Below are 27498 nucleotides of genomic sequence, written 5' to 3'. Positions count from 1 at the left end.
CTTTGACAACACATTTTCTCTATGTTGACAACCTAATCCACTCCTTCACCAAAATTCTTAATTCTCTTGTAACTCAATCCTTCTACCGCACACACCAAGTAACCTTCCTCTCTCTAGGGAAATGTCTGTGGCTTATTACTGAATAAACTCAGAAAATCTTGCAAACTGATGTTACTCAATCCGTAGCTGCCAATTCCAATGGGGCAGGCCTTCATCAGTCCTTCTGTTGGGGTTCTCAGTCAGCACCCCTCCGATACAAACTGGCAGTACTTTCCTCAAGCCCACATCATTCATTTGCTAGCTTGCTCCCTCCCTCCCTCCCAATTCAGTCTCTAACTGGCTCTCTCAAGGACTCCAGGATCTGGTCCCATCTACTTCTCTAGCCCCTCAAACTCCCAATTTAACCTTCTCATAATCCGGAACTGCTTACGGTTCCCTATGAACACCAGTGGTCAAAAGCATGGGCTCTAGGCCCAGGTTCAAGTTCTAGTTCCAGTGTTTGAGACCTTCGGCAAGTCAAGTAACATCTTTGAAACTAGGTGTTCTCTTCTACTTTCTTGGCACACAGAGGGGTACATAATATGCCCTCAATAAAGTCAGATATTGCTATGACGCTACATCTTTGAAACTAGGTGTTCTCTTCTACTTTCTTGGCACACAGAGGGGTACATAATATGCCCTCAATAAAGTCAGATATTGCTGTGACGCTACATCTTTGAAACTAGGTGTTCTCTTCTACTTTCTTGGCACACAGAGGGGTACATAATATGCCCTCAATAAAGTCAGATATTGCTATGATGCTACTACTTGTGCTCCTCACACTGCCGGCTCTGCCTGGAATGTCCTTTCTCCCTCCTTGCAAACTTTACCTGCCCAATAACTGACATTTCTCTTTTAAGATAATTCAGATGTCATTTTAAGGAAGGTTTCAGTGAAAACCTCACTCTGACTGGGTTAAATGCCTCCTTTCTGTCTCCCAATACAGACCGTAAGCCAACCCAGAGCAAGAAACCTTTTTTTTTTTTTTTTGAGACAGAGTCTCACTCTGTTGCCCAGGCTGGCATGCAGTGGCGTGATCTCAGCTTACTGCAATCTCTGCCTCACGGGTTCAAACGATTCCCCTGCCTCCGCCTCCCGAGTAGCTGTGACTACAGGTGTGTGCCACCACACCTGGCTAATTTTTTTTGTATTTTAGTAGAGACAGGTCTGGTCTCCAGCTACTGACCTCAGGTGATCCACCCACCTCAGCCTCCCAAAGTGCTGGGATTACAGGTGTGAGCCATTGTGCCAGGCTAAGAAACCATTTTTTTTTAAAATTCCTCTATCTTCTAGCAAAGAATCTGCTATAAAATAGATACAACAAATTGTTCAACTGAAGTCAAATTGTAAAGAAAACCTCTATGTTCTCATCTTAAGGGATACAATTTTCTTACCACTGTGATGCACTAGAGCCCCATGCTCAATCTTCTTTTTCATGTCATAAATGTGAATTGTTTCATCTTTGCTCCCAGTGACCACAAAACGACTATTTACAGCTACTGCTGACAAGGAGGCAGTGTGAGCATGGTGAGTGAAGTCAGCCACAAGAGTCCATTGCTGCTGAAGATGAAAACATACAATTAATGCCAGTCACACCACAGTTCTACCAACTCTATCCACTGGTAGTTTTCATGAATCACGGAACCATTTATCTGTTTCTGAAAAGATAAATCATTCCACGATTCATGAAAACTATCAATGGATCCTATAAATGGAAAAATGATATGTTAAACTACAAAATGACATGTAGTTTACCACAAAGGACTTGAGACTTGATGAGGAAGGTAAAGCAAGGAGGTGGGCAGGCAACACTGGGTATCATCACTCTAGAACACAGTAATGGAGACTGGACTAAGGAAGACTTTTAGATCCTACACAAATCTTTAACTCTTTAGTGTATTTACTTTATATGTGAGACTTAATTTATTTTTTCAGATATTCACATTTTTATTTGAATTTATTCTTTCAAATAATGAGTGCCTACTATGTGTCTGGCACTATTCCAAGCAGTTGATACACAGCAATGAACTGCGATTCTCCCACCTAAGCCTCCTGAGTAGCTGGGATTACAAGCACTTGCCATCATGCCCAGCTAATTTTGGTAGAGACAGGGTTTCACCACATTGGCCAGGCTGGTCTTGAACCCCTGACCTCAGGTGATCCACCTGCCTCGCCCTCCCAAAGTGCTGGGATTGCAGGCATGAGCCACCGCGCCCAGTGGACAAGTCTTATAAAGAAAAACCAACAGAGTAAAGGTATGTTTCCATGAGTACCAACGTAAGCTCTAGAGAATCACCAATAACGAAATCTCAGGAACTCTGTGCTTATTGCCATGTGACAATAGCATTAGGAAGTCTGATTGGATGAGTGCGAAGCATGACAGCAAAATACACAGACACACACACACACTCACTCACTCCTTAAACTGAAGGAACTGCATCAAAAAGTATTTGCAAAACAAACCGAAAAAGAAAAAAACCCATCAAACTTCTTTGAACATGTGTTACTGCAAATCAGGTCCTTAGTTACAGAAGATACTCCTTCCATCATTTAAGACCAAGGGGGCCTCCTTTGAATCAAGCATTTTTGCGGGTCTGCTATGGCCTTAAATCAAATAATAACCTTTTAAAATTCACATAATGTAGGTTATCTAGGCTATTGCTTAGATTTAGTAGAAGTATAGGGTAATGGTTAAGAGTTTCAAATGTCAGAGACCCTCGGGGGCTCCTGACATTTTGGGGTCAGCTGTGTCAATTATTATCTGTGTGTCCTTCAGCAGTCACTTAACCTATCTAGGACCAACATTTTGGTACTTCATCTGCAAAACGAGAATAACTGCATCCTCCTCAGAGGGTTGCTGTGAGGACTACTGTGTGTCTGGAACACAGTTAAGTAATTTCACTACAAAAAAAAAAAATTAAATAGCATCATCTTTGACTATTCAAAACACATCACTTTTCAGCCAAAGACAAAGAGCAAATAACTGGAGTAGGAAACAAAATAAACGAAAGCAATAGGCCAAGTGATATACTTCCAAATTTTCTGGATAATTAAAGACCGACGCCTTGACTTCATAAAGAAGTACTGTACTCAATTTTCTAGAAAATGCTTAGAATTGCTTCAAGAATAAAAGTGAGCTAGATGTTAGGAGGTCGGATTCCTAGTCGTGAGTATAGTCCTATCTACCTATTTGACTACTGATAATTTATTTGACCTTTTTATCTATTCACACATCTAGTAATATCATATTCTGCTGTAATTTCTCTCCATCTATGCGTCTCCTCAGTCCTCCACCCCTTATGTAGGCAACGTCTCTAAGGCAAGATCCATACCTCCAGCATCTTTGCATCTCCACCGCCCAGCTCGCCATAAGTTCCCAACAAATAATGAATTGGTATCGCTTTACCTATAAGGGATTTATCCTAATCTAGTTCTAGTAATTTGTAAAATTCCAGGGCAGAAATTCAGCAAAAGAGCGAGATCTTCTTTCATTAAATTCTGAATACTGTCAACTTATGGGATCGATCCTTAAATCCACAATCTACGACTCATTTGTCCGTATGCAGAAATGCCGGTTTCCTTTGTGTCCCGTGGACCTTTTGTCTACTAGAAAAGGCAGATATTGCCTCATTTTGATAAAATGTCCATTCTACGGTTTAAAAGGTTAGCTTTTCTCTTAAGTCTCTTAGGTTTGATTCATCAAATCATCCAGTGAACAGCAGGCGCTCCAATGTTCACCTCTGCTGTGTAGGAACCAAACCCGACCTTCCCGGCCCCGCCTCCGACTGTCTCTAACTACGCGGTATCTCACCTCGTGGTCGCCGCAAGCCTCGGGCTCCGGGTGTACAGCGAACCCAAAGAGGACCTGCTCGTAGCAACCAGCGACCAGCTCCATTCAGCAGCGCACGTGCCTCTTCCGCCAGCCCGGCTCAGCCTGGAGGTGACAGAACCGGAAACCAAAAAAAAAAAAAAAAAAACACCTGACTCCTTTCTGCATCGGCGCTCGAATTATACGTCAGGCTCCAGGGCTGCCTTTAAGTCGCCTGTAACGTGGAAACACTTTAAGCGCGGGGAGGTCACATGGATTTTCCAAGAAGAGAATAAGTAAAGATGCCACATGAGGAGGTTCTCACTGCAAGGAGAAAAAAATCGGGGGCAAGCAGGCATATCTCAGGAAGGTGCCAGCTACGCCCGTCTGAAGGGAGCGGGCGGGACATCCTCTGCGAAGCCCTTCATTTCCGTGACATCAGGAGGAGGTGGGGCCGACTTCCGGCCGGTTGCTTAGGGGCTGTAGCGCCGGCAGCGTGCATTGTTGTGGGCTGTGTACTAGTAGGGTAGGAGTTTTTGTTCAGGGACCAGCGGAACGAGGCTTTCTGTCGTTAATAGGGTAAGGAGGGGTGGGATTAGGGTTCGCGGTGACTTGTTCCAGCGGCGCAGCGCTCGCGCTGCCTTGACGGACTCGGAGTGCTAGATGTGTCCGCGTTCCCGTCTGCCCGGGCCAGAACCCCAGCCCTGCACACTTTCTCTGTCTGCTTGTCTAACTCTGGGGCTGTATTGGCCAAGGTTGCGGCACCTCCTGGGGAGGGAGCAGTGAGCCTTCATTTTTTTTTTTTTTTTTTTGAGACGGAGTTTCGCTCTTTTTGCCCAGGCTGGAGTCCGGTGGCGCGATTTCGGCTCACCGCAACCTCTGCCTCCCGGGTTCAAGCAATTCTCCTGCCTCAGCCTCCCGAGTAGCTGGGATTACAGGCATACGCCACCACGCCTGGCTAATTTTGTATTTTTTAGTAGAGACAGGGTTTCTCCATGTTGGCTAGGCTGGTTTTGAACTCCCGACCGCAGGTGATCCGCTTGCCTCGACCTCCCAAAGTTGCTGGGATTGCAGGCGTGAGCCACAGCGCCCGGCCAGAGCCTTCATTTGAGAGTTGGGAAAACAAAGTGAGCCTGAGCAACATATTTTGATGCCGTCTCTACAAAAATGTTATAAATTAGCCCAGCATGGCGACGCCCGCCTGTGGCCTCAGCAACTCGGAAGGCTGAGGTGGGAGGATTGCTTGAGCCCAGGAGGTCGAGGCTGCAGTGAGCCGAGATCGCTCCACTGCATTCCAGTCTGGGGGACGAGCCAGGCCCCCTTTCAAAGAAAAAAAAAGTTTTATTTAATAAGGTTTAGAGATTCAGGTATGTCTTAGACATTACAGCTTTCCTACAAGCTCCCAACAGAGTAAATCTTGGTTCGTATAGTTCTCATAAACACCGTAGTAGGTCATTTGGTAAACAAGATGCATAGTCCATCCTTCTCAAATCTTCAGCCTCCATTTCAAGTGCGATACAGTGCTTCAGCGCTTAGACCCTTTTGTTTCCAATAACTTTTCTTCTCTGGTGTTCTGAATTGTTAGTACGTGTTAATAGAGGCTAGTTTGGGTCTTGCAGAAATGATTTCATTTGGGATGCTTTGGTTGTCACTGCAGTGCAGAAAAGACCTTGTTATTGTTAGAAATAGATAATTGGTGACACGAAGAAAAGTCAGCATGGAGACAAAAGATCTCTCAGCAAGGCAATTTTTACTTTATGCAGAAAGGGTGCTCAATTGCAGATGGAACGATGGTGAGAGCACTCCTGAACAAAGGAAAAGCAGACATATTTGTCCCTTACGCCTTTGGGTTGTCCTTACTGCTGTGTCCTGCATCCGTTGGCTGGGGCTGGACCTCATAATCTTAAACTGATACCCGATTTGCTAAACAGGCTGTGAGCTGGAACGTGCCTGGGCCTGTGAGCATGTCCCGCAGTTACATACAATAGGGCTTAACAGAGTTATTAGCACAAAGCAAGGAGGCTTGAAGTAAGTTAGTCTTTAAAAGAAACTATTGTTTCTAACATTTATGATTTATTCTTTAACAAGAAGGGAAACTTTGAAGAGGCAACTTTTTACTTTCTACGTCATCTGCCAGCTTTGTCCACGCCAAATGTAAACACTTCTCAAGACACTGAAATGCTGTTGACAAACTAATTCTCAGTCTAGTGGAAATCCTTGTATTCATTCACTCTTCCAAAATCTTTCTTGGCTGGGCACGGTGGCTCACTCCTGTAATCCCAGCACTTTGCGAGGCCTAGGCAGGCGGATTGCTTGAGGTCAGGACTCTGTCTCAAAAAATAAAATAAAATGGCCAGACGCAGTGGCTCACGCATGCCTGTAATCCCAGCACTTTGACGAGATCAAGAGATCGAGACCATCCTGGCCAACATGGTGAAACCCCGTCTCTACTAAAAATACAAAAATTAGCTGGGTGTGGTGGTGGGCGCCTATAGTCCCAGCTACTCGGGAGGGTGAGGCGGGAGAATCGCTTGAATTAGGGAGGTGGAGATTGCAGTGAGCCGAGATCCCGCCACTGCACTCCAGCGTGGGCAAGAGTGAGACTGTCTCAAAAAAAAAGTCATTCTTTCTTTACTTTGTGCTAGTTATCTTCATTGTGTTACAAAAAATCAAATTATTTTAGGATTTAGAATAGATTACTTTTTTTGTAATGTGTAAGTTTCCACCAGAGAACCACTAAGATTAGAGGAGTGTGAAGTAAGTGTCCTCTGGACGTGAGACAAGGTATTAGTAAGCAGGACATTGTAAGTTTCACATTTTATCTTTAAAAATGTGCCTTTATGCATTTTACTCCACAACATATCTGTTTATTTTAATGCAAAAGTGTTACACCCTCATCCACAAATTAAAAACCGCTAAAACTTTCAAAATCATGCTTTGTATATTCTGTTACTTCTGGAATGTCCCTGGTGCCCTGTCTCCTTACCCCAGGGACATCTCAACTGCTGTTTGAGAAGTATTAATACTTGTTTAATACACTTTTTAAAATAAATTTTAGCTTATCACCATAAAAAGGTGATTATTTAGAATCTGTTACCAGACTGTCACACTTTTACTTGCTTAAGTAACTTTTGTTCCAACCAGGAATTTTAGAATATAGTTGGTTCTAGAATGGAAACCATGGTGTAAGCACCATGAACATAACTCAAAGTGGTTTTACTTTAAAAAGAAAAAAAAACCCCAAAACTTAGAAATCAGTGGAACCAATTACAGAGCTCAGAGGACTTAGACAACATCTAGTCCAGGTGTTACTAATCTGGGGGTTCCTGGATAAATTTCAGGGGTTTTGAATCCCATGAAATTATATGCAAATATGTGGATATACATTTTTGGAGGAGAGCATTAGGATTTTAAGGGAGGGAGACCACCCCTCATATTGTCTTATGCCCAATTTCTGCCTCCAAAGAAGAAGTAAAAACTAAAAGGCAGAAATGAAATCCACAAGCAGACAGCTCGGCACCACACTCTGGGCCTGGTAAAGATCGACCCCTGACCTAATCGGTTATGTTATCTGTAGATTAGAGACATTGTATAGAAAAGCACTGTGAAAATCCCTGTCCTGTTCTGTTCCGTTCTAATTACCGGTGCATGCAGCCCCCCAGTCATGTACCCCCGCTTGCTCAGTCAATCACGACCCTCTCACACGGACCTCCTTAGAGTTGTAAGCCCTTAAAAGGGACAGGAATTACTCACTTGGGGAGCTTGGTTGTTGGAGACGTGAGTCTTGCCGAAGATCCCGGCCGAATAAAGCCCTTCTTTCTTAAACTCGCTGGCTGAGGGGTTTTGTCTGCGGCTTGTCCTGCTACAATTTAAGTACTGTTTCAAAAAGATTAGTGTAAGCGTACCTCATTAAGGGTAAAATGCAGTGATTCAGTCTTAGGTTATAAATGCTGAGATATGTCTGGAGAAGTGACTTTTTCAAGAACACACAGCTAAATAACAGAGCCAGCAATGCTGCTCTTTTTTATGTGTCCTCGGCCTTGAACATTCTCTTTAACAGAGAGGAAAGCAGCAGCATTTCATTTTATGCATGGCTGTGGCAGTAGTTTCAGGTCTTAGATTGCGGATTTTCATTGTCTGAAGAAAGACAAAAGAGAATTATATACCTGTTTAACTGGATTGGAACTGAGCATAACTTCCTGTAAATCCTCCTATTCTCTTTCCAAATACAGGATGTAAAAAGCCATTTAATCTCATTCTTGTGAAATCTGCAGCTGCCAAGAAACAACCAATGTTGAGAGTTCATTAAACACTAAAGCACGAGAGGATATTGTTTTGTAGCTTTGCTTTTAAATTATTGATTGAAAAGGTTTTTGCTCTTGAGCTATGCTCTGATTTATTCATTCATTCAACAAATATTTGTTGAGTGCTTAGCTTCGGTTTGTTAAAGTAAAAGCTAGTTTTTCTTCTTGGGTGGTTGAGGGTGGTAAAGTGGATATCCTGGGGTACAAGCAGGACACAGTAGAGAAAAATCAGCCCTGTTAGAAATATGAGAGTCTCATATTCCTGCTGAATTCTCCTCTTTCTCAATGTGACAGGCAGCAACTCTGTTAAATTCAAGGACTATGGAGGTTGCACGTGAATGTATTCCTGGGGGTTTTGGTCTCCTTTGTATTTCCAGCACGAAGGGAAGTGGAGATAATGCTGTACGTGCCCTGAACCTGTCCAGTAGTGTGCCCCAATAGAAATTTGCTTCACCTGATTCATGGGAGTAATCTAGTTGAAACAGAAGGTTTGCATTTGGGGCTTTTAGTGAGCAAAACAGCGCTTGTGAGCCCTTGTCACTGTCATCTCCAAGGCCTAAGTGCCCATCTTTACCCTGGGATCTTGCTTACAACCTTCTGTTCCACAGCTGCTGCCATCTTCCTAGGTGGTTGCAACATGATTACATTGACCTCTCTCTTCCTCAGCCTCCTTAGCACCTCCTCAATGTTCAACTTCCACGTTGCTTTCCAACTGCAGCCTCAATGCTTACCTGGTTATAGCCATAATTGTGATTTTCTTTGTGTAAAATAAAGTCAGTCCTAAAGTGAGAGAAAAAAAATTTTACAGGAAAAGAATCTTTAACTGACATGTTTTATTGGCTGTCTAAACTACAGTAGTTAGGAATTGTGTTTTACCTGACATAACAATAGTGGTCTAAACAAGACATTAAGTAAACCAGCGGTAGGCCAGTCTAGTGCTAGTGGAAGGAGTCCTTAGTCATTGGTGACCTAGACTCATTCTGTCTTGGATCCCAGTATTCTTCTGCATGATGCCTTCCTGGATGTCACCTCATAGTCCAAGATAGCTGCAGAGTTATTCTGACACCAGCCGTCATATTTGTAATCCCAGCACCAGACCCTCCAGCTAAGCAAATACCCTTTTCCCACACAGCTTTCCCCTATCCCCTTCTACTAGTTCTGTTTACATCTTCTTAGCCAGACTGACCACCTGGCCACATCTTGCTGCAAGGGAGAAGCTAGGAAATGTAGTCTTTTAGCTTGGGCCTATTGCTAGCCCAAGTGAAATCAGAATTGTTATTAAGGAAGAAAATAAACCAATATTGGGTGGCACTTAACAATGTCTGCCACAGTTGCTAATCAATAAAATCTCCCTTGAAGACATGAGGAAATCCACTCTCTATAAACTCCAGTACATCACCAATGCCAGTTACCCTGCCTTGCGGATACCATCGGCCCTCAGCGTCTGTGGGTTCTGCATCCCTGGATGCAACCAGTCGTGGACTGAAAATACTTGGGAGGCCGGGCACGGTGGCTCACGCCTGTAATCCCAGAACTTTGGGAGGCTAAGGCGAGCGGATCTCCTGAGGTCAGAAGTTTTGAGACCAGCCTGGCCAACATGGTGAAAATCCGTCTCTACTAAAAATTAGCCAGGCGTGGTGGTGGGCACCTGTAATCCCAGCTACTGGGGAGGCTGAGGCAGGAGAATCACTTGCACCTGGGAGGCACAGGTTGCAGTGAGGAGAGATCATGCCACTGCCCTCCAGCCTGGGCAATGTGGTGAAACCCTGTCTCTACTAAAAATACAAACATTAGCCAGGCGTGGTGCCAGATGCCTGTAATCCCAGCTACTGGGGAGGTTGAGGCAGCAGAATCACTTGAACCTGGGAGGTGGAGGTTGCAGTGAGCCAAGATCATGCCACTGTACTCCAGCCTGGGTGACAGAGGGAGACTCCATCTCAAAAACAAAACAAAACAAAAAACCCCAAAACTCCAAAAAGTTTCAAAAAGTAAAACTTGAATTTGCCACATGCTGGATACTACTGGTGAACCCACATGAAGTAATACATAGCCATTGTATTAGGTATTATAAGTAATCCAGACAGAATTTAAGGTTTATGGGAGGGTGTGTGTAGGTTCTTTGCAAATACTACACCATTTTATACTTGGGCATCCAAGGATTTTGGTATCTGAGGGGGATCCTGTAAACAATCTCCCATGGATACTCAGGGATGAGTATAGTAATGGCTCAATAACTGGTGAATGATTGAATGATCCGAATGTTTTGAATTCATCATGTTTGCTATTTTTCGCATTACAGGTAAATAGTAAATACATTAAGAACTTAGTTATTAGCAAGCTGCAGGGAAATGGCCAAACCCTAAGTGCCCCATATGGACTTAAAAGTTATCCTGAATTTTGACACTGTGTAACCTTGCTACTTCAAGTGGCGGGAGCTGGCTAATAAAGGCAGAATCTGAGGCTCCACTCCAAATCTGTCAAGTTAGAGAACCTACATTTTAAACAAGTCCAGGTCATTTGAATGCACATCGAAGTTTGGGAAGTTTTATGCTTTTTTTAAAAAAAAAAACTGAACCAGAGAAATATTTCTTTAAAATTGTATCCTGTACTCTCATTAATGTAGAGCGTAAGAGAAGAGGAGAGAAGGGAAGGGGGCGAGGGAGCGCGTTCTTCTCTGCCTCTTAATTTTGCAGGTAGTTGGATGATGCTTTCAACCTGCGTGGAATTAAAAAAAGAAAAAGCCAGCAGGTGCTAGTTCCAATAGTTATTCTCAGCAGGTAACAGAGGAGAGAAATGTATTTGTCTTAAGGTTTTAGTTATTAGAGTTTCCTCTTTTACCTGTTATGGTAAGGGGTGGAGTGGAGACTATCCTTCATTGTCGACCAACATACCTACCCCTTCTGTCCCTCCCTGGGGTTCTGCTGGCTCCCGCTGCCTGACAGTTGGGAGAGAGGGGCTGGCAGGTGGAAGCCCGAGGAACAGATTGCAGAAGTTCCCCCAGGTGCCTCAGTACACCCCTCCCCCACCCACACCTTTGCCCCGTTGTCAGGAAAGTCAAGCAATTAATTGCCTAGCAGGAATTGCCACTAAATGTAATTATCTCAGATGTAGTTGCGAGACTTATTTGTCAGGATTGAGAGGTTTCAGCCCACAAGCTGGATTTTTGACGCAGGAATAAAAACTGGATTCTGCTCTCTTTTTGTAAAGTTTCTGGGTAAATGGCCCAACCAGAGAGTTCTGCAGATTTTGGCATAGCTCAACAAAATAACTATTACTGCTACTGGCAAAGGTGAGTGGTTTTCTCCTACTTTGAAAAGGAAAGCTGTTACTGTTCTATTTGCTACATAACTGTTGGTAACTTACAAACTATGGCTTTTTTTTTTTTAAAGTTCTGGGGTACATGTGCAGAACGTGCAGGTTTTTTACATAGGTATACACGTGCCATGGTGGTTTGCTGCACCCATCAACCCGTCATCTACATTAGGTATCAAACTATGGCTTTGAACATAGGTGTTCAGCTTACTGCAAACTTCCTGGAAAGAAGAAAGGGTTTGGGGGTTTGTGGATGATTCTGCGTTGGTTGTGATGATTGTCATTCCTGTAGTCTCCCCTCTGCTATTAGAGTGAAGCAGGAGTTCCAGCCCAGCCAGAGTTACCGCTATGGCAACTGGTATGCGCGACAGCACGGCTCTTACCTTCTTTCTGGCTACAGCTATGGCTGTGCAGTGGATGGAAATGGAAAGGACTGTTTTTCTGCGCATGAGACCCCTGAACACACAGCTGGAACTCTGGTTATGCCTAAGGTATCCCTTGCTAGAATGAATCTTGTGTCATTCGTGTGCCCAATAATAGTAAACATCACTTTCCTATCTTCACACATCTGTGTCCTGTCATCCAAATTCCCACAGACATGGCTTTTGCTACCTGTTTTAATACTAGAGAGTAAAGCTGATAGCCTAAGAAAAATGTTTGTATAGCTTTATTGAGGTATAATACACAAAAAGTCCCTGCACATGTTTAATTTATATGATTTGCTGAGTTTGGACGTGTATAAACTAGAAGTGTTCACTTGCAGATAATTTCCCATTCTCTTCTAGAAACAACACAAAAAGCTAATGAAGTCTTTTTCTAAATTCTTGCTGCTAAATTTTAGATTATCATAATTCGATAAATTTTACTCTTTAACACTATATAGGACAAAAGGTAGTTTTGGGGTTTGTTTTATAGCAGTTGGACATAAACACACTTTAAAAATATATTTTAATACTTTGAATTACTAAAGTGACATATTTCTCAAATCACACAAAGATGTATTGAAGTAAGGGAAAAGTTCCCCCCCACACACACCCCTCCTCCTTCCCCATTCCCTTCCCACTTAGAAGAAAGTACTGTGGAGTGGATCTATGTCTTCTAGATCTTTCTCCTGTACTCTTGCTAAATCAATGTGGTTCATCTTTCTGTTTTGGTGGTTAGGGGATGATTTGGGCAAGAACGAACTATGTAGTACATACTGGTTTGCTGTTTGCTTGCTTCTGCATAAGGAGACCTTTCTTTAAAAAATCGTCCACTTATGGTCTGGGCAAGATGGCTCACACATGTAGTCCCAGCTACTTGGGAGACTGAGGCGGGACGATCACTTGAGTCCGGGAGTTTGAGGCTGCAATGAGCCATGATTGTGCCATTGTACTCCAGCCTGAGCAACAGAGCGAGCGCAGTTAGATACATTGCGATTTTTAGCTCATCCCTTATCTGACATTTTAAATATTTTCAGGGCTTTAACAAACTTACCTATCTTCAAGCATTTGTCTGAGTGTTGCTTTTTTCCCCAAGAATATAATTCTGGATGTGGAAGGGCTGGATTAAAGGATATAACATTAAAAAATTTTAATAGCAAGTTACCTAAAGTCTGCATGAATTTACACTTTTCATTATTGTGGTGGGTGTTCTTGCTACTCTACATTTGTCTGTGTATGATTAGCCAATCTAATAGGGCAGGGAGGCATTTATCTATTATTGAGGGCAAATACCTCTTGAAATGTTTATTGCTATCTGTGTTCTGTGACTTTGATATCCTCTTTCTAATTTTTCTGTTGAGTTGTGTCCCTCTTGCTTGACTGCATAAGATATTCACATGTTAGAGAAATTAACACTTTGGAGTCTAAATGTTACGGACTTCCCCCACCCCAGCTTGTCTCCTAATATGCAGAGTGACACCATTTGTGTGATGATCTTTACCTTAAAATGAAAATTGAATTTTATATCTAGTCCCTTGGCTTTTAAAACTTACATTTGCTTTATATTATGATATTTCACTGCCCAAACTTTCATTTTCAATTTTTCTCAAGTCTGTTTTAGGTGTGCCTCTTATATAAAATATCTTGTTAGATTTCTTGTCATTTTTTCCCCCTTTTAGCCCAATTTGGGTTTTTCCCTTTTAACAGATGTTTGATATTGCAGCACTTAAAAAAAAAATCTTTCACTACATTGCCTGTGGTTTTGGCACTCTTTTTTTTTTTTTTTTCTTTTGCCCCTTCTCTTTTTGCTCTTTTTTGGGAGACGGTCTGTCTTTTGGTGGTTACCCTTATATCTCTAAATAGAGAAGTATAGGAATTAGTATATTATCAACTTCAGAAACAAAAGTATTTCTTGATTTTTTCGTCACTCTTGAGAAAATTAAGAAATGAACATCCTTTTTTTCTCACCTGGCTACCCCTTCTCTCAATTCCTCTGTCCATTTTTGTTGGCACAGTCTGGGATTTTTATCTCACCCTCAGGCCGAATTATTACTATAACATGCATTTTTCATACAAGAATTATATAAATATGTTATCTTTTGTGGCTGTAGTGACCCCCTGTGCCATCTGCCTGCCATCCTGCTGGGTGTCCCCTGTTGGGAAGCTGCTGAGTGAAATTAAAGATGGTAAGCCTCTGTGGTGGCGCTCTTTTACTCCCACATCCCCATTTTGGTCTTCTCCAATAACGTGTGTCCTTGCCAAGATGTCCTAGTCATTCCCTGCTTCCCCCAATGTGCTGTGCCTCTGTCCATAACCTTTATCTCCCCAAGTTAAAGGGGTTACCCCCTCTCCAGCCCTCTCCTTTACATTTTCACGTTGTGGAGGTGGATGTCTCCAAAATGATTCTCGGGTCTTTGTGGTCCATCAGCACACCTTCCCAGACTATCTCTAGCTGAGGAAAGCCTTTTATAAATGTGCTTTTCTTTAAAGGCAGCCAGCTGCATACACAGCACAGGTGGCCCTCAGACCAGAGAGAATGCTCTGTCTCCAGATACTTCCTGCTTCCCTCATCCTGGTTATTTAGCATCCACATTTACCAGAACACACACTGAAAGGAGGAAATGTGTGGTTACTCAAGTCTTGTATTATGGGAAAGGAACTTATGGAAGTGTGGATTCTGGGTGTCTTTGCCATTTCTTTCTTTTCTTTTTATATAATTAGCTTTTAGAGATGATGTCTTGCTCTTTTGCCCAGGCTGGAGTGCAGTGGTGCCATCATAACTCACTGCAGTCTTGATCTCCTGGGTTCAAGTGGTCCTCCTGCTCCAGCCTTCCAAGTAGCTGAGACTACCGGCTGCATGCCACCATGCCTGCGGTCTTAGCCGTATCTAAATAGAAAAAAGACAGATTGTCTTTTGAAATTTATGGTAACTATATAACCTATTTTCCAAACCTCAGTATATTTCAGAGTGAAGGGGAGGCATACTTTCAGATAGACTGAAAAGAAAAGATAGTAGATCTTTGGCTCTCAGTATCTTCTCATTCTTATTAGCAAGGGAAGCTTAATTAAGTGCCAGGAGCTACATCAGCCCTTTCTTGATAGTGATTCCTTGGAATAGCTGGCCATACTTAAAAAGACAGGTTCCCAACAGGTCTACATAGAAGAATCATAAAAACGTATGCTGCCCCAGTAGAGCCAACAGGGTCTGGGTTAACCAACCAAGATTTACTTTGGGAGTACCTCTGCAGTTTACTTCTCTCATTATGTAAGGATATGATTGGTTTGCTTTGCTGTAGCCTCTGCATTTTCTTGAGCACCTAATATCCTGGTTCTTAGCTGAGTCACGGGTTTGAGGATGTGATTAGAAGGCCATGAGAAAAACGTGCTCATGGAGACTTAACAGATTGTCTTCTGGAAGGAGGAGCAGAACTCTAGGTAGAGTCAGGCATGTAGTACAAGAAATAAGGAGCCTGGATACCAGGGTCGCTGGTGTCTGGTTTCCTAGCTCAGGCTCTAGGATGCTAGTTAGGTCCCAGAAAATCCAGGGGCCAGGGGCCCTCGTTAGGCTTGTTCCTCTTTGTGACAGTTCTTCTGTGATTCAGTTTACTTCTTTCATAATTGTACTATGCCACCTAAAGATTCTTTTCATCAAATTCAAAAGTTGATTTAAAGAGATTAATTGTCAATATTATTTTTATTTTAGGTAGTTTTTTTGAGAGCTAGAGTTTTTCCCAATAAAGTATGTATTGATATTAAACCTTTAAGTAAAATTATTTTCTCATGAGATAATATTTTGTTGCAGGAAACCACACCTCTAGCTGAAAACCAAGATGAAGACCCACTAGAAGGTAACATAAACCTTGTGCTGAAGTGGTTGGAAACAAAACCCCATTTCCTGGTTTCTCATTCACTCAGCTTGCTAGAAACTGGAAGGTTCTATTGGAAAATTCCAATGTAGGTTGCCTAAGCCATATGCTTCAGTAATTTCTCCTGTTTTTAGAAACTGGTTCTATGGGAACAACTTTAACTAAGCCACCTCTTTGGGCCTTTCTGAAGGACTGAGAAAGGGGGACATTCCCAAACAGTAAGAAGACAATACATTGTTCTTAAGCTCCATTTCCTCTGTAAGTTTAGACTTTGAGGAGAATTATGCTTTAATTCTCTTTTTCAAGGGGGAAGAGCATGAGGTGATTGCTGTGGCCTCAGGGTTATTGGATCCTGGGGTACCTGACAGAGCAGCACTGTAGTGTCAGTCTGGTGGTGCTTCCTGTACTTCTCAATTTGTTTTGGAAAGAACAAAGTTTGCCTGCCTAGAGACAAACACTCTGAATGTGTCTTATTTGAGGAAGGGGAAAAAATGTTTTGCTTCTTTTAAGTAATGGGAAAGAAAAATAGAGGAGAAATGCAGAGAACACTATTGCCTTTTTCTTATCACATGTCTGTCTTATCACATGTTTGTCTAATCTCTCTCTTGCCCAAACCCCTGCCCCTACCAGACAAACCCACCCACTGCCTTTATGACTTTATCAAAGAAGGGAGCATGTTGTTATCAGTCTTTGTAGGCCCTGTTACTAATTCAGAGAGTTCACATGTCAGTAGGTGCTCAGTGTTTAAATTAAATCAAATTGGTGTTGAAAAGAAATGTTTATATGCTGTTGAGCAGTTGTAGTTTTTAGTACTTTGATTTAAACATGAGTAAAGGGTGCTTATTTCAACTTTGTGGGATTTCTTTCAGATTAAGTGTGAGTCTTTCTTCCTGCCTTTTATCAGTTATGCAATTTATTAAAATTGATGCAGGATTTCTTGCTCCTTAGTTCAGCTAAATCTGGGTCCTTGTCTCACAACCAGGAAAAATTAGGCATGTGGATACATTGAAGGGTGAGGAGGATGGAATTTATTAAGTGAAAGGAAAGCTCTTAACAAAAAGAGGGATCCCAAACACAGGTTTCCACCTCACAAATTGAATACCAGGCCATCACATACGAGTTGAAAAGGCCAGGCTCCTCCCCTGCATAAGGTGTGAATTCCTGGTGACTCCTCCTCATTCTTCCAATGTGCACGTGGGCCCTTAGTCTGAGCCACTCCACATTGATTTATTTCCCTTATTGCACATGTGTTAAAAGATGGAATTTTTCACCGTGGGCATGTTTAGCCAAGCCCCCTGTGCACAATGACTTGGGCAGGTTGGAGGTTCTCCAGGGACCTTACCCTATTTGCCTAGGCATTTGGCTGTCCCATGCCTCTATCAAAATAATAGAGGTAAAAGTCTGCTTTTTGGATACAGATTGCCACGGGGTTCAGATTCTACCTACTAGCTCTGTAATTCCAGACAAATTAATCTCTAGTGTGTCTGCTTCAGTTTCTGTAAAGTGGGGACATTGATACCTTTCTTATAGGAAGTGTGGGTATGCTAGGTCTACAGTACTTTTAGGTGGTTAAACAGCTGCTGCCATATCATAAACACTCAAGTATTGGCTGGTCATCAATCTGGCACAGTACTGGTCAGTAGAAATGTAATGCAGTTGCACCTCAAGGAGCTAGAAGAACAAGAACAAAGTAAACCCAAAATTAGTAGAAGAAAAGAAATAATAAAGACTATAGCAAAAATAGATAGAAACTAGAAAAACAATACAAAAGATCAACAAAATGAAGGGTTGGTTTCTTTAAAAGATAGTCAACAAACCTTTAAGAACAAAAGAAACTCAAAATCAGATGAAAAAGGAGACATTACAACTGATATCACAGAAATACAAAGGAACATAAAAGACAATTATGAACAATTATACATCAGTAAATTGGATAACATAGAAGAAATGAGTAAATTCCTGGACACATACAATCTACCACCTACCAAGATTAAATTATGAAGAAATAGAAAACCTGAACAGACCAATAATAAGGAATTGAAACAGTAATAAAAAGTTTCCCATCAGGCCAGGCCTGGTGGATAATGCCTATAATCCCAAGCACTTCGGGAGGCTAATAGGGGAGGATCATTTGAGCCCAGGGGCTTGAGACCAGACTTGGCAATACAGTGAGACCTTGTCTCTACAAAAAATTTAAAAAAATAACTGGGTATGGTAGCATGTACCTATAGTCCCAAATATTTGAGAGGCTGAGATAGGAGGATTGCTTGTGCCCAAAAGACTGAGGCTTAAGTGAGCTATGAATGTGCCACTGCATGTCAGCCTGGGTGACAGAGTGAGACCCTGTCTCAAAAAAAAGTCTCCCATCAAAGAAAAGCCCAGGTCCTGATGGCCTGTTTAATTCTACCAAACATTTATTTTTCATTTTATTTTATTTTTTGTAGAGGTGGAGTCTCACTTTGTTGCTCAGGTTGGTCTCAAACTCTTAGGCTCAAGCGATCCTCCCAGCTCTGCCTCCCCAAGGGCTGGAATTACAGGCCTGAGTCACCATGCCCAGCCCCCAGATATTTAAAGAAGAACTAATGCCATGTCTTAAACACTCCAAAAAATCGAAGACGAAATACTTTGAAACTTATTTTATGAAGCCAGCATTACTCTGATATCACAACCAGAAAAGGACACAACAAGAAAAAACTACAACCAATATTCCTGATGAACATAGATGCAAAGGTCCCCAACAAAATACTAGCAAACTGAATTCAACAGCACAATGACAAAATCATCTGTCATGAACAAGTGGTATTCATCCCAGGGACGCAAGGATAGTTTAATATACACAAATTAATAAACATGATACATCCCATTATCCCATCAACAGAATGAAGGACAAAAAACATTATTTTTCTTTTTTTTTTCCTGGAGATAGGGTCTCACTCTGTCACCCAGGTTGGAGTGCAGTGCCGTGATCTCGGCTGCAACCTCTGCATCCTAGGCTCAAGCAATCCTCCCATCTCAGCCTCCCAAGTAGCTGGGACCACAGGTGCATGACACCATGCCCAGCTAATTTTTTGTATTTTTGGTAGAGATGGGGTTTCGCCATGTTGCCCAAGCTGGTCTTGAACTCCTGAGCTCAGGTGATCTGCCTGCCTCAGCCTCCCAGAGTTCTGGGATTACGGGCATGAGCAACTGCGCTTGGTGATCATTTCAGTAGATGCAGAAAAATCATTTGACAAAATTCAGTTATCTCTTCATGATAAAAACTTCCAACAAATTAGGTATAAAAGGAGTGTACCTCAATACAATAGAGTCCATATAACAAACTCACAGCTAATATTGCACTGAACGGGGAAAATCTGAAAGCTTTTCCTCTAAGATCTGAAACCAGATAAGGATGCCCACTTTCACTACTTCTATTCAACATAATATTAGAAGTCTAGCCAGAGCAGTTAGGCAAGAGGGAGAAACTAAAGGTTCCTAGGTTGGAAAGGAAGAAGTTTTGAAGATGACATGATGTGATATACAGGCATACCTCATTTTATTGCACTTCACTTTATTATGTTCCACAGAGACTATGGTTTTTGTTTTTTGTTTTTTTTTTTTAACAAGTTAGAAGTTTATGGCAGCCCTGCATTGAGCAAGTGTATCTGTGCCATTTTCGCAAACGGTATGTGCTTACTTGTTAGCACTGTTTAGCAATGAGCTATTTTTTTTTCTATTTTTTTTTTTTTTTTGGAGACAGTCTTGCTTTGTCACCCAGGCTGGAGTAAAGTGGCGTGATCTCGGCTCACTGCAACCTCCGTCTCCGGGTTCAAGCGATTCTTCTGCCTTAGCCTCTTGAGTAGCTGGGACTAGAGGCACCTGCCACTACGCCCAGCTAACTTTTGTATTTTTAGTAGAGATGGGGTTTCGCCATGTTGGCCAGGCTGGTCTCAAACTCCTGGCCTCAGGTGATCCACCCACGTCATCCTCCCAAAGTGCTGGGATTGCAGGCATGAGCCACCGTGCCCAGCCGCAATAAACTATTTCTTAAGGTATTTACATTGTAAACAAATTTGTTCTTTTATTTTATTTTTTTTTGAGATGGAGTCTCACTCTGTTGCCAGGCTGGAGTGCAGTGGTGCGATCTTGGCTCACTGCAATCTCCGCCTCTTGGGTTCAAGTGATTCCCCTGCCTCAGCCTCCCAAGTAGCTGGGACTATAGGCAAGCACCACCATGCCTGGCTAATTTTTTGTATTTTAGTAGAGGTGGGGCTTCACCATGTTGGCCAGGATGGTCTCGATCTCCTGACCTCATGATCTTCCTGCCTCCGCCTCCCAAAGTGCGGGGATTACAGGCGTGAGCCACTGTGCCTGGCCAAATTTGTTCTTTTAAAAAAATTTTTTTAAAAACAGAGACAAGGTCTTACTATGTTGCCCAGGCTGGTGTCGAACTCCTGAGCTCAAGTGATTCTCCAGCCACGGCCTCCCAAAGTACTGGGATTACAGGCATAAGCCACCATGCCCAGCCAATGTAAACAACTTTTATATGCACTGGGAAACAAAAAATTCATGTGACTTGCTTCATTGCAATATTCATTTTATTGCAGTGGTTAGGAACTAAACCTGCAATATCTCTGAGGTATGCCTGTAGAGAAAACCCTACAGACTCTGCCAAAAAACTGTTAGGTCTAATAAACTTATTAATTTTGTATCCTGTAACTTTACTACACAAAATTGTTTCTATACACTAATACTGTTTGAAAAAGATAACAAGAAAATAATCCCATGTACAATAGCTGTAACAAAAACTTAAGAGTAAATTTAACTGAGGTGAAAGATGTCTATACTGAACACTATAAAGTGTTGATGGAAGAAACTGAAGACACAAAAGATATCTCATGCTCATGGATTAAAACAATGAATATTATTAAAATGTTCATACTACCCAAAGTGATCTACAGAATCAATGCACTCTCTCTGTCTTTTTTTTTTTTTTTTTTTTTTTTAAGACAGTCTCACTCTGTTGCCCAGGCTGGAGGGCAGTGGTGTTTGAGCTCGGCTCACTGCAACCGCCTCCTCCAGGGTTCAAGCAATTCTCCTGCCTCAGCCTCCCAAGTAGGATTGGAATTACAGTAGGATTGGAATTACCACACCCAGCTAATTTTTGTATTTTTAGTAGAGATGGGGCTTCTCCATGTTGGCCAGGCTGGTCTTGAACTCCTGACCTCAGGTGATCCACCTGCTTTGGCCTCCCAAAGTTCTGGGATTACAGGCATGAGCCACTATGCCCAGCCAGATTCAATGTACTCTCTATCAAAATACCAATGGCATTCTACATAGAAATAGAAAAAAATGACCGAGTGCACAGTGTCTCATGCCTGTAATCCTGGCACTTTGGGAGGCTCAGGTGGGAGGATCACGTGAGGTCAGGAGTTCAAGAACAGCCTGGTCAACATGGTGAAACCCCGTCTCTACTAACAATACAAAAATTAGCCAGGCATAGTGGCATGCGTGCCTGTAGTCCCAGCTACTCGGGAGGCTGAGGTGGGAGAATTGCTGGAACCCGGGAGGCGGAGGTTAGAGTGAGCCAAGGTGGCGCCACTGCACTCCAGCCTGGGTGACAAAGTGAGACCCTGTCTTGGGAAAAAAAAAAAGAAAAAAATGATACTATAATTTGTATGGAATCACAAAAAAACCTAAATAGCCAAAGCAATCTGAGCCAAAAAAAAAAAAGGGTGAAGGCATCACACTACCTGACTTTGTACTACAAAGTTGTGGTAACCAAAGCAGCATGATACTGGCATAATAACAGACACATAAACCAATGGAACAGAATAGAGAGCCCAGAAATAAATCCACACATTTATAGCCCACTGATTTTCAGCAAAGGTGCCAAGAACACACAATGGGGAAAAGGCAGTCTCTTCAATAAATGGTGCTCAGAAAACAATGTCCACATGCAAAAGAATGAAATTAGACTGTTTATCTCTCACTATATACAAAAACAACTCAAAATAGATTAAAGACTTAAATGTAAGACCCAAAACTGTGAAACTACTAGAAGAAAACATAAGGGAAAAGCTCCACGACATTGGTCTGGGCAATGATTTTTTTGGATATGACCTCAAAAGGACAGGCAGCAAACGCAAAAATAGAAAAATAGTATCACAGTGAACTAAAAAGCTTCTGTACAGCAAAGGAAACAGTAACAGAGTGAAGACAGACAACGGAGTGGGAGAAAATATTTGCACGCTATGCAAGTGATTATGAAGAGGCATCTTCTGGGGTAAATACCCAGGGTTCGTCGTCTTGCACCAGGAGGAATAAGGACATGGACACATGTGGGTGGGTTAAGGAGTGCAAGGCTTAATAGGTAGAAGAAAGGAGAGAGGAGAGCAGCTCTGTGTGACAGGAAACAGGCCTCCGAAAAGGAAAAGTAGGCCTGTAGCAGACAGCAGGCAATTTTACAGGCAGGCTTGAGGAGGCGGTGTCTGATTTATGTAGGGCCCAGATTGGCTAGACCAGGTGTGACGTCTACATGATGCCAGGCGAAGGCTGGTTGCCCTACCCTGATCTTATTATGCAAATAGACTTTCCACTTGTCCGCCATCTTGTCCGCTCCTTACTGCACAAGTGGCTGGCAAAGAGAAGATGGAGCCGCCATTTTGAACATGCCTATTCCTTAGGTAGCTTTTTCCTATTGGCACAACTGCTGGCATTTGCATGTGCAAGCTTCTAGCTTGCTTGTCTGTGTCTGCAGTTCAGTTTTACAGGTTGCTGTTTGTTAGAAAAGAAAATGATTTGGGGGCAGCTGTTCATGAAAAGCAAAACCTTACCGAGGACTTTCTTACCCTAAATAATTTCTTTTTAACTCCTGTATCAATAAGGGGTTAATATGCTAAATATATAAGGAAATCAAATGACTCATTAGCAAGAAAATAACCTGATTATTCAGGTCTTTTGCACATTTAAAAAAATTTTTATTTCAATAGTTTTTGGGGGTACAGATGGTTTTTGGTTACAGGGATAAGTTTTTTGTTTTGTTTTGTTTTGTTTTTTTGAGAGTGAGTCTCACTCTGTTGTCTAGGCTGGAACGCAGTGGCGTGATTTCGGCTCACTGCAGCCTCCGCCTCCCCCGTTCAAATGAACCCAGTCTCAGACTCCTGAGTAGCTGGGATTACAGGCACTCGCCACCACGCCCAGCTAATTTTTGTATTTTTAGTAGAGACGGGGTTTCACCATGTTGGCCAGACTGGTCTCAAACTCCTGACCTCAGGTGATCCACCCACCTTGGCCTCCCAAAGTGCTGGGATTACAGGCGTGAGCCACCGTGCCCGGCCATTTTTTAAGACATTTCTCAAGAGATGATGTACAAATGACCAATAGATGCATGAGAAAATGTTCAACTTCACTAATCATCAGAGAACTGTAAATTAAAACCACAGTAGTGAGATATCGTCTCACTCCTGATAGAATGGCTGTTATCAAAAAGACGAAAGATAACAAATGTTGGGTAGGATGTGAAGAAAAGAGCCCTTGCATACTGTTGGTGGGAATGTAAATTGGTACAGCAGTTATAAAAAGTATGGCGTTTCCTCAAATTATTAACAGTAGAGCTACTATATGATCCAGCAATCCCACTATTGGGCATATATCCAAAGGAAATGAAATCAGTATGTCAAAGAGACATCTGTACCTCCGTGTCTATTGCAGCACTATTCACAATAGCCAAGATACAGAATCAAACTAAATGCCCATAAGTGGATGAATGGATAAAGAAAATGCGTATATACACAATAGAATACTATTCAACTGTAAAAAGGATGAAATCTTGTCATTTGTGGCAACATGGATGAACATGGAGAACATTATGTCAAGTGAAATAAACCAGGCACGGAAGAACAAATGCCATATGATTTCACTCATGTGGAATCTTAAAAAGCTTATTTCATAGCAGTAGAGCATAGAATGGTGGTTACTAGAGGCTAGGGTAGTTGCAGGGAGAGAGTGGTAGGGAGATGTTGGTCAAAAGATAGAATTTCAGTTAGCTAGGAGGAATACCGTTCAAGAGATTTATTGTAGGCTGGGCACGGTGGCTTACACCTGTAATCCCAGCACTTTGGGAGGCCGAGGTGGGTGGATCACGAGGTCAAGAGTTTGAGACCAGCCTGACCAACATGGTGAACCCTCATCTCTATTAAAGATACAAAAAATTAGCCGAGTGTGGTGGTGTGCGCCTGTAATCCCAGCTACTTGGGAGGCTGAGGCAGGGGAACCACTTGAACCCAGGAGGTGGAGGTTGCAGTCAGCTGAGATCGCACCATTGCACTCCAGCCTGGGCAACAAGAGCAAAACTCCGTCTCAAAAAAAAAAAAAAAATGTATTGTATACCATGGTGACTATAGTTAATGAAGAAATACAGGCTAATTCGAAGGTAGTGAGTTATCGCAATTGGTTGTTCAGTCAGTTACAGATTGAACTTTTTGTTCTACTCTTTCCTTGCTTCTTACTGCTGCATTTGACTAGTCTTTTAAAAAAAAAAAAAAAAAAGAAAGAAAGAAAAATACTTAGTGGATATTCAGTGTTTCCACCACAAAAATGAAAAATGATAACTATGTGAGGTAGTTATTTGATCCTTTGATCATTCCACAATGAATATATACTTAAAACACTATGTTGTACGTGATAAATACATACAGTTTTCTCTGTCAGTTTGAAACACATAGAAATTTAAAAATAGACAATGTGAAACACAAAGCCATCCATGTGGGTAATTTTAAATTTTTTAGTAGCCAAATTAAAGAACCAACTCAAGAGATAGGTGAAATTAATGTTTCTTACTTAACCTAATATCTGGTATGGACTGAATTTGTGTTCCTCCCCCTCGCCAAATTCATATGTTGAAACCCTCACTCCCAATGTGATAGTTTTAGGAGATGGGTCTTTAGGGAGATGATTAGGATTAGGTGAGGTCATGAGGGTAGAGCCCTCATGAATGGAAATGGTGACCTTATAAAAGTCACGAGGGAATTTGATTCCTCTCTCTGCCCTCTGCCATGTGAAGACATGACTTCTGGGCAGTGTGCAACCCAGAAGAGGGTCCTCACCAGAACCCAACCACGCTGACACCCTGATCTTGGACTTCCGGTTTCCAGAACTGTGAGAAATAACTGTGTGTTGTTTACGAACTAGTCAGTTTCTGATATGTTGTTAGCAGCCCAAACTAAGGCAATATCCAAGATATTATTCCAACATGCAATCAATATAAAAATTAACGACTTTTTTTACATCAAGTCTTTGAAATGCAGCATATATTTTTTCTATTTTTTTTCTTTTAATGGCTGCCCCCTCACCTGCAGATTGAGGGGACCCTTATTTTGAGGGCTATTCAGACATTACCTTCAAGCAGAGTTTTAAATTGTTCCTATTGTGGTGAAATATGCATAACATAAAATTTACCATCTTGACTTTTAAATGTATCACACTTGATCTTAGCCAAAAGGCCGGGAAGCAATAGACTTTTAAATGTATCAGTGGTATTAAGTACATTCGTAATGTTGTGTAACCATCACCATTCATCTCCAGAACTCTTCATTTTATAACCTGAAACTCCATACCCATTAAATAACAACTCTTCACTCTCCCTTCCCTCATCCCCTGGCAACCACCATTCTGCTTTCAATGTGGTGTATATTTTATCCTTACATCACATCTCAGTGAGGGCCAGCAATGCTCAATAGCTGCATGTGGCTAGTGGCTACTGTGTTGGACAACATGGGTCTAGAAGATTCACAGGTTTAGGGATGATATAATTAGTTTGTCTTGAATAGGCTTCTATTATAGTTTTGATCAACATCACTGGAAGGGCAGAGATCATGTAATCTGGGGTTTGGAGCTGACCACACTATATCTGTTTTCTTGGCCACAGGTTAAGTGGAGAGCATGCTCATAAGCATATGATCCTAACTCCTCTTTCCCCACCAGGGGCATGCAGTCAGGGACCCATTAGCAGACAACTGCCCATAACGGTAAAGGAAGGGAACCGGGGACAGAAGTGTAAGAAAATTTCAGAATGTTTAGTGGGAAAAAAGGGAAACATCTACTTTTATGACCAGAAACGCTCAAAGGAAACTCAAAAGGGATGGGAAGCTCTAAAGAATAAGAATCAGACAACACAATCATGAATGACTCCAATGAAGAAAAGTGAGAAGTAGCTCATGGAATTTATATGATGACTAAAGCCTATTTGACCATTTTGGTTCTAAAATGATAAATACAGAAGAGTACTGCATTAGTCTTCTAGGGCTACTGTAACATAGTACCACAGACTGGGTGGTTTAAACAAAGATTTATTTTCTTACCATTCTGGAGGCTGGAAATCCAATATCCAGGGTCTGGATAATTTGGTTTCTGGCGAGGGCTCTCTTCTTGGCTTGCAGACAGCAGCCTTCTTGCTGTTTCCACACTTGACCTCTTTATGCATGCATTGTAGGAGAGAATGTGAGCAAGTTCTCTGCTCTTTTTTTAAAAAAAATTATTTTTATATTTTGTAGTGACGTCTCAGTATGTTGCCCAGGCTGATCTCAAACTCCCAGATTTAAGCAATTCACTGGTCTCAGCTTCCCAAAGTGTTGGGGTTACAGGTATGAGTTGCTGTGTCCTGCCTGCTGTCGCTTTTTATAAGGGCACTACTTCTGTCAGACCAGCACCCAACTCTTATGACCTCATCTAACCTCCCAGAGGCCCCATCTCCAAATGCCTTCACATTGTGGGGGTTAGGCTTTTAACAGAAGAATTTTGTGGGGCAAAGATTTAGTCCCTAATAAGCATACAGATGAATAGCATGAACCCATATGAGTATTAGGAAGCAAATTATGATCCTCAAGGAACTAAGGCTTGCAAAAATTACAAAGGAAAACATAAAAGGCTTCTTCCATTACATTCAGTACAAGGAGAGGAAAAAAATAGATTAAAAAAATTAATGACCTTGTAAGCCTTGGAAAGCTCTGGAAACCTGACAACTTGGGCAGAAAATCCACGTTTAATACGTTCGCAATAACATAATACCATCTCGTCACAGGGTTCCAGGGTTCGGAGATGGAAGGCCAAGTCCTCCTGTCTTTCTGAATTAGTTGCTGTATAAAATTAATTCACTTTATCTGTTAACTGAGCAGTTAAAGTAGCATGTGTATTTTTACAAACCCCTGTCCAAGGGGCCCTTGGCTTGGTTCATTGTTTGGCATTGTATCTATCTGGCTCATGCCAGAAACATGGCAGTCATTCTTGACCTTCCTTTTCCCCTTTCCTCCCAAATTGAATCCATCCCCCAAGCATCTGAAATCTGTCCATTTTTTTCCTCCATCTCTTCTGTCAGCTGGATGCTCATTGAGTTTGATGACACTACTACTTTTATAGCTTAAATTTCTATTTTCAAGTCTTATTGAAAGGAAATATGCAATTTAAGAATTTTAACCTTTACTATCTGCAGTACTTCCTGCAAATGCTTTCTAAAAGCTTTCTAATTTTAAACTATTTCTAGTATGTGTCCTGTAAAACTCTATTTTTTTCATATCCATTATTGGCTTCTGCAGATCCACATCTTCATTTGAATATTGAGGAATCAAACCAAGAGTTTATGGTGAAAAGTGAAGAACTCTACGACTCCCTCATGAATTGCCACTGGCAGCCTCTGGACACAGTTCACTCCGAAATCCCAGATGAGACCCCGAAGTGAAGCAAGGTGTTCATTAAACTCCGCAATTATCATA

General features: G+C 41.9%; 2 protein-coding genes across 15 annotated transcripts in view, besides 3 other annotated features; one reads left to right on the top strand and one right to left on the bottom strand.

The window, feature by feature from the left end:
- Positions 1-8055, bottom strand: part of PAK1IP1 (PAK1 interacting protein 1) — an 18918-nt gene extending 10863 nt beyond the window's left edge. The window contains exons 1-3 of one of the 3 annotated variants that reach the window (XM_011514721.1): positions 8014-8055; positions 7601-7723; positions 1434-1596 (exon numbers count right to left, since the gene is read on the bottom strand). In XM_011514721.1, the coding sequence (XP_011513023.1) occupies positions 1434-1596; positions 7601-7723; positions 8014-8040 (313 nt within the window). In that variant the 5' untranslated portion in view covers positions 8041-8055. Of the gene's footprint in view, positions 1-1433; positions 1600-3850; positions 3949-7600; positions 7724-8013 lie in introns of those variants that run through there. The other 2 variants (XM_005249204.3, NM_017906.3) reach the window with 2 other exon arrangements.
- Positions 3730-4332: an enhancer, noted in NCBI's record as "H3K27ac hESC enhancer chr6:10694821-10695423 (GRCh37/hg19 assembly coordinates)". NCBI's record gives its function as "activates a minimal SCP1, AML or CMV promoter by ChIP-STARR-seq in naive H9 embryonic stem cells {active_cell/tissue: H9 hESC(naive)}" and the evidence as "EXISTENCE:reporter gene assay evidence [ECO:0000049][PMID:30033119]".
- Positions 3921-4300: an enhancer, noted in NCBI's record as "active region_23971". NCBI's record gives its function as "activates an Ori minimal core promoter by ATAC-STARR-seq in GM12878 lymphoblastoid cells {active_cell/tissue: GM12878}" and the evidence as "EXISTENCE:reporter gene assay evidence [ECO:0000049][PMID:35858748]".
- On the top strand, positions 4029-27498 carry C6orf52 (chromosome 6 open reading frame 52). 12 transcript variants are annotated; one of them, NM_001354357.2, is made up of 6 exons: positions 4123-4217; positions 11756-11954; positions 13997-14071; positions 15688-15733; positions 26284-26373; positions 27322-27498. In NM_001354357.2, exons 3-6 carry the CDS (start codon positions 14069-14071, stop codon positions 27462-27464), a joined length of 282 nt encoding a protein of 93 aa, NP_001341286.1. In that variant the 5' UTR covers positions 4123-4217; positions 11756-11954; positions 13997-14068; the 3' UTR covers positions 27465-27498. The 12 variants fall into 12 exon arrangements, 7 of the variants coding, with proteins under 7 accessions (XP_011512874.1, XP_011512876.1, NP_001341286.1 ...); NM_001388311.1 differs by lacking the exons at positions 4123-4217; positions 13997-14071 and adding exons at positions 4304-4426; positions 11359-11440 and having other exon boundaries at positions 11774-11954; NM_001388310.1 differs by lacking the exons at positions 4123-4217; positions 13997-14071 and adding exons at positions 4304-4426; positions 11359-11440.
- Positions 4341-4390: an enhancer, noted in NCBI's record as "active region_23970". NCBI's record gives its function as "activates an Ori minimal core promoter by ATAC-STARR-seq in GM12878 lymphoblastoid cells {active_cell/tissue: GM12878}" and the evidence as "EXISTENCE:reporter gene assay evidence [ECO:0000049][PMID:35858748]".

This window comes from Homo sapiens, chromosome 6 (genome assembly GCF_000001405.40).
Source record: "Homo sapiens chromosome 6, GRCh38.p14 Primary Assembly".
Taxonomy (NCBI): Eukaryota; Metazoa; Chordata; class Mammalia; order Primates; family Hominidae; genus Homo; species Homo sapiens.
The sequence above is the reverse complement of the archived record's forward strand: the minus strand, read 5'-3'. Positions and strand labels throughout refer to the sequence as shown.